A 5769-nucleotide genomic window follows, 5' to 3' on the forward strand; every position below is an offset into this window, starting at 1 on the left:
AAAATGATAAACTAAGCATACATTATCAAGAATAGGCAAACTTGGGCCAGTTATTTTATTTAAAACTTATGAATAGCTTTGGAAATACACTTTTTGGTAATACTAAATATATGTGAGAGGAACAATGCAGTCACATGCTCTCAGGAATTCCTTAGGCTTTGTCACATAATAAAAAATATTAATTTAATTTTTAAAAAGGAAAAATACATTATTTTTCTAACAACATGAAATAAATGATACCACTTGTTATAAAATACTATAAATCTTAATTATAATATTTTCTATTAGCCCATAAATTGAAATAAGGCATAATTTTCCTCAATATAATTTAAAATTATTTAAAATAGGGTAATTAATAACGTCATTATTGTTATATAAATATTAGAAATAGTTATTACAGTCAGAGGATGTATTTCTTTTATAACTAAGTATAGTGAGAGACTTAATGTCATTAAGAGAATCATTTCAAAAACACCTAAGTAATCCAATTATTTTTAACTTTTCAGAAATCAATGATTATTTTAAGTCTACAATATAAAATCCAAGTTGAGTATCAAACAATTCACTTAATCAGCAAAAGATAGACGTTTAACAGATGAACGCTGGTATTTTAGATGGCTTAATTTATTTATCTCCACGGTAACTACCTTATTAAAGTTAGAAAATGGTTGAAATAAAGAAATACCAAAACTTTCAGAAAAAAAAATTATCATCTCTTTCTAGCTAAAATAAAATATCCCTTTATTTCTGATTGACTCTTCAAGAAAACCTATTCCCCATTAGTAGCCAATAAGATTTCTATAATTCAATTAGCTGGATGTGGTGGTGGGTGCCTGTAATCCCAGCTATTCAGGAGGCTGAGACAAGAAAATGGCTTGAACCCAGGAGGCTGATGTTACAATGAGCCAAGATTGTGCCACTGCGCTCCAGCCTGGGTGACAGAGTGAGACTCCATCTCAAATAATAATAATAATAATAATAATAATAATAATAATAATAATAATAATAATGACATAATTCAGAGCACCCAACTAAATTGTAACTATGTGAATTATCAACTGAAGATAAAGTTTGTCTTTGTTTACAAAGTTTTCCAGGAATGGTGTAGCAAAAGGAAACCTTCACTGATAGTTTGGTAACAAGTTTGTTACTATCTCTACCAAAGACTAATTATACAACCTGTCATGGAGAACCTCAGTATTCTCATCATTACAGTAAGAAGATAGAACTCTGCAATCTTCAAATTTACTTCTAATTCTTAGGTAAGAGGAGTTAATTTTTTTGTGTGTTAAATCCTCTTACTACTTGTTCTAATTACATTTTTAGTTAATTTTATTCAGTTTCAAGAACTGTATAAGCCAAGTAAGCATCTTATTAATTTGGATGTCATTAAAAATATTAATTTAATTTTTTAAAAGGAAATTGTGAAAAAAGAAATTTAATTATGAAATAGGAAAAAAATAGTTTCTGTATCCATTTCCTTTTCTGTCTTCTATCTTTAAGAACTCTACTGAGTTAGTTCTGTAAGTAATCATCCTCTAATACTCCATATTGTCCATAAAGTTAGAATTTTGTTTTGCCACAGTTCGGGTATCCACAATAAAATTTTATGTTTCATGAAAACTCTCCTAAGTAAAAAAACCATCTCAGGATGAGATCCATGGATATAATCAGACAGTATCACTTAAAAAGACATTTGAAAAAGAATGCCTAGGACTCTTTCTCAGCATTTTTTGGTAAAGGTAAATATATTGGGGTGCCTTTTTAATGATAATGCCCTTATATTTGTTGCTCAAACTGAAGAAGTAACATGGTATAACCAATATTAATTGAATCGGGAATGGGAAAGTAATAGCTGCTACCTAGTAATAGTCACTATAGTACCTCGTAATTCTTCAGTATGTACTAAATATGAGAAATTGTTCTGTGCTCTCACTTATGTCCTTTTATTCTCATAACATCCTTATTAAATAAATATTATTGTCCTTATTTTTGGTATTGAAACCATCTCTATAAAATGAGTCAGGAAAGAAGGGAGGGGGAGAAATGAAAATAAACCAAGCTTACAGCACACTTGGCATTAATCATTAGGTCAGCTTGCTCTCTGACCCGCTTCCTCATATTTTTTTGCTTATTGCCCCAGAAACATGTAAACCCTGTCACAAGATTATAGCTCTGCTCAACTGCTCTATAGATAACAACTTAAGCATTGTGAAACATTAAGTTTTCCCTTTGTGATATTCTTTCAGTTGCTGCAAAGTAGTGAAACTACCAACACCAGCTAGTCTAATGGACCCCATGAGGAGCTGACCCTCCAAAGAATGCAGTTTTCACAGCCTGATGACTTCATCTCCCTTATCTTGACCAATCTATGGCCCCACTTTTGCAATCCTTTACCCACCATAATACACTTATGAACTCCAGCCCTGAACTCCTGGAGGAGATGGATTTGAGGGCCTCTTCCTGTCTCCTCACTTGGCTGCCCTGCAGTTATTAAACATTTTCTCTGCTGCAAACCCTGCTGTTTCAGTGTACTGATCTTTTACTGTGTAGTGGGCTTACGAACCTGTTGGTCCTGTAACAGTATGAAGAAAAGAAGGCATAAGAAGGTAAAGTAACTTCCTAGTGTAGTGTTCATATATTTAGTAAGTACCTGAGTTGTAAACTGCCACCTTCAAATGCACCAAGGAATTACACCATTAATCACAAAGACACAGAAAGAACACATGGTATGGGGGATAAATTTTTAAAAATTCTAAAGGACTTTTAGGTTTTTCTCAACTTCTTAACTTACTTGAGAACTGGGCTAATTTGTATATTCAGAACGTTTATAACCAAAACTTTTTAGAAATTTTCAGTTTAATCATACTCTATTACAGACCGAATACTTGTATATACTCAAAAATTCATGTCATAAATTTTGTGTTTTCTAACTGTACCAAATATATTAAAAGCCTATATTTATCATGTCACCATTTATTTTAAATAAAATGACAGAATGTACTAGTTATAATCAAAAAGTTGTATATGCTTCTATAATCACCTGCTTTTTAAATCTGCATCCTTTCTGGAAACATACCAGATTTGAAAGTGTGGGTTTATTTTCATAGCTTTGAGAGCATGAATCTTAATTGGCTTTTTTTTCATTTATGACTTGTGTGTCTTTCCATACTGATAGTAAAGTTTCCTAAATTGTAGAAAATAAGAAAAAGAGAAATCAGTGAAGTATAAGTATATTGATCTTACACTCAATGTCATAGTAACAAAGAGAATCAACTCAGAATCTGTTTTCTGCAATCAGATACATGCTTAAATATCAAGTAAATCTTTTCAGCTTTTTCAACTAAAAAGCTCTGATAATTAATGGAGAATGATTTATAGTGTATACTGTCATTTTCTTCTGGGATAAAATTGGCTATGTAACCCATGGGAATATTTCTATGTTCTTCTGATCTGAACCCCTCTATCACTCACTCACTGTTCCACTATTTCATGAAAGAATAAAGCAGGCTACAATATCTTTTAACAAAGCATTTTCAAATTAAAAAGAAAGCATGACAATCATCTTTTTATAAAATGTTTTAATGAAGTTTTTTTTCACTATAACTATTAAACTGGCCACCAAAATAGTATTTAAAAAAATCATTGATTATTTCAAATAAGTGCATTCCAGATGTGTTCCATGCTATAAAGAAAAGGATTTGTGAAACTGGCATTATGCATATTTGCATACCTTATTTGTAAAGAATTAAGATCTTAGGGGAGTTCAAATGGGAAATGATAATTCTAAAAATGAAAATTTTTGTATGCATTCTATAGTACATTTGCATGAATTTTACCACTATAACCCTAGAGAACTCTTACAGATTTTTTTATGCTAGATCTTCAGTTGAACTTATTAAGAAAATTATCAGATTTAAAGGTAAAAATTAGGTCATGATAAATGGTTTTTGCCTATTTATCAAATGTTATTACAGAATTTTATCTCTATTATATTCTGTTTAACTAATTTACTAAAATTAAATATTGTCTTGAATTCATATAAATTAATTCCACTAAAATCAACTTAGATTTTTATTCTATACTATGTGTATGAGAGCTTAGTTTTTCACTGGCCTACATTTGTGCCTGATATTTAATGAATCCACATAACAATACAGTGAAAGATTATTAACTATATGTTCTCTACTTAAAATCTACCTCTGCTTTTAGAAACTAATTCATGAATTTATATTACAAGTTGTGCATAGGAACAATAAACACCTCATTTTTTTCAAGTTTATAGTCGATTATAAATAAACTAGTGAAGATTAGAGATAGCACTAAAAACTGAAATCCAATATTACTAAATAATCTTCCTTTGATGTTTCCTAATAAATCCTTTGATCTAATCTTCAAAGGAAAGATCATGTTGCCCATTTTTAATTTAATGTACTTTTCAATGGTATATTGAGTAAACAAGTTTCATTTGAAAAAAATAGTAATTTTTTTCAGCACTTAAGTTTGTATTACTTTTAAAATAATGTTTTAAAATTAAAATTTAAAGTTTTAAAAGACAAGCATCCATACCAGTATGGGAAGGTGAAGAGAGGATGGGAGGACAAGACATGAGGAAGGAATTCTGTTCAATTAATAATAAAGCTCCAGGTTCATCCCATCATGGATTTAGTAGTCATCCAGAGAGACACATCATCCATAAAAATCATGTACCATTACTTCAGAACAATCTGTTAATGTGTCCCAGTTTGGGCCACTGACAGCTGCTTAAGGTTGCTGATAGTGTCATGAGTGATTTTCTACGGACCTTCTTTGAAAGCTGTCACTGCAGACAACCTCAGTCATCCTGGAGAGAGCTCAAGTCACCTGAAACCGAAGAACACAACCTCCAGAATTGTTTAAAGTGCAACACCAGCCTGCCCAACATGGCGAAACCCAGTCTCTACTAAAAATACAAAAATTAGCTGCACGCGGTGGCGTGTGCCTGTAATCCCAGCAACTCTGGAGGCTAAGGCAGGAAAATTGCTTGAACCCGGGAGGCAGAGGTGGCAGTGAGCCGAGATCGCACCACTGCACATTTTAGCCTGGGTGACAGAGCGAGACTCCGTCTCAATAATGATAATAATAAAGTACAACAAAAATGTGGAAACATGGAGGACATATGAGCTGTTATTATTAATTGATGTGTGAGCTGTTATTAATTGGAGAAATTAAATAATCTTTTTTAACTATCGGATTGGATTTTTTGAGATGCTATTTACATGGATCTAAAAACAGTGGATTGAAGCCGGCAGGTCAGTAAAGAAGCTGTGCAATGCAGAAAGGAATCAACATCACTAGCACTGATCTTTGTGAGATAAATTTTGAAAGGGAAGTAAAAGTTATTGACATTTCAATAATCAATACTTTTACAAGAGTAGCTAACGATTTCCATTTCTGGTCAAAAATTGGTATCACAGAAGCCCTCCCAAGAAAAGTAAAAGTCATAAAAAATATAAAGCAAGTGCTACAGGCTCTTGTGTCCCTTCCATCTTCATTCTTTCTCGCTGAAACAGCTGTGTGAAATATGAGTGGGGGAAGAAGATTAACATTTAGGCTAGAGGAAGACAAAATGTACAAGAAACTTCTAAGCCAGTTGGGCCTGTGGTTGTCCAGCAGCCCAGTGATGAACAGCCTCAAAAAGAGGAGCCACTGACTGAAAGTAAGGATGTTATGCCTGGTCAGGAGAGAGATGAGGCGGCACCCAAGAGTCAAGGTCCTGGCTTGGAAGCT

The 5769-nt window shown here is 32.5% G+C and overlaps 1 pseudogene; it reads right to left on the reverse strand.

The window, feature by feature from the left end:
- Positions 1 to 4629: 4629 nt before the first annotated feature.
- LOC107984481 (ubiquitin-like protein 5) lies at positions 4630 to 4842 on the reverse strand (annotated as a pseudogene).
- Positions 4843 to 5769: the final 927 nt, after the last annotated feature.

This window comes from Homo sapiens, chromosome 12 (genome assembly GCF_000001405.40).
Source record: "Homo sapiens chromosome 12, GRCh38.p14 Primary Assembly".
NCBI classification, from domain to species: Eukaryota; Metazoa; Chordata; class Mammalia; order Primates; family Hominidae; genus Homo; species Homo sapiens.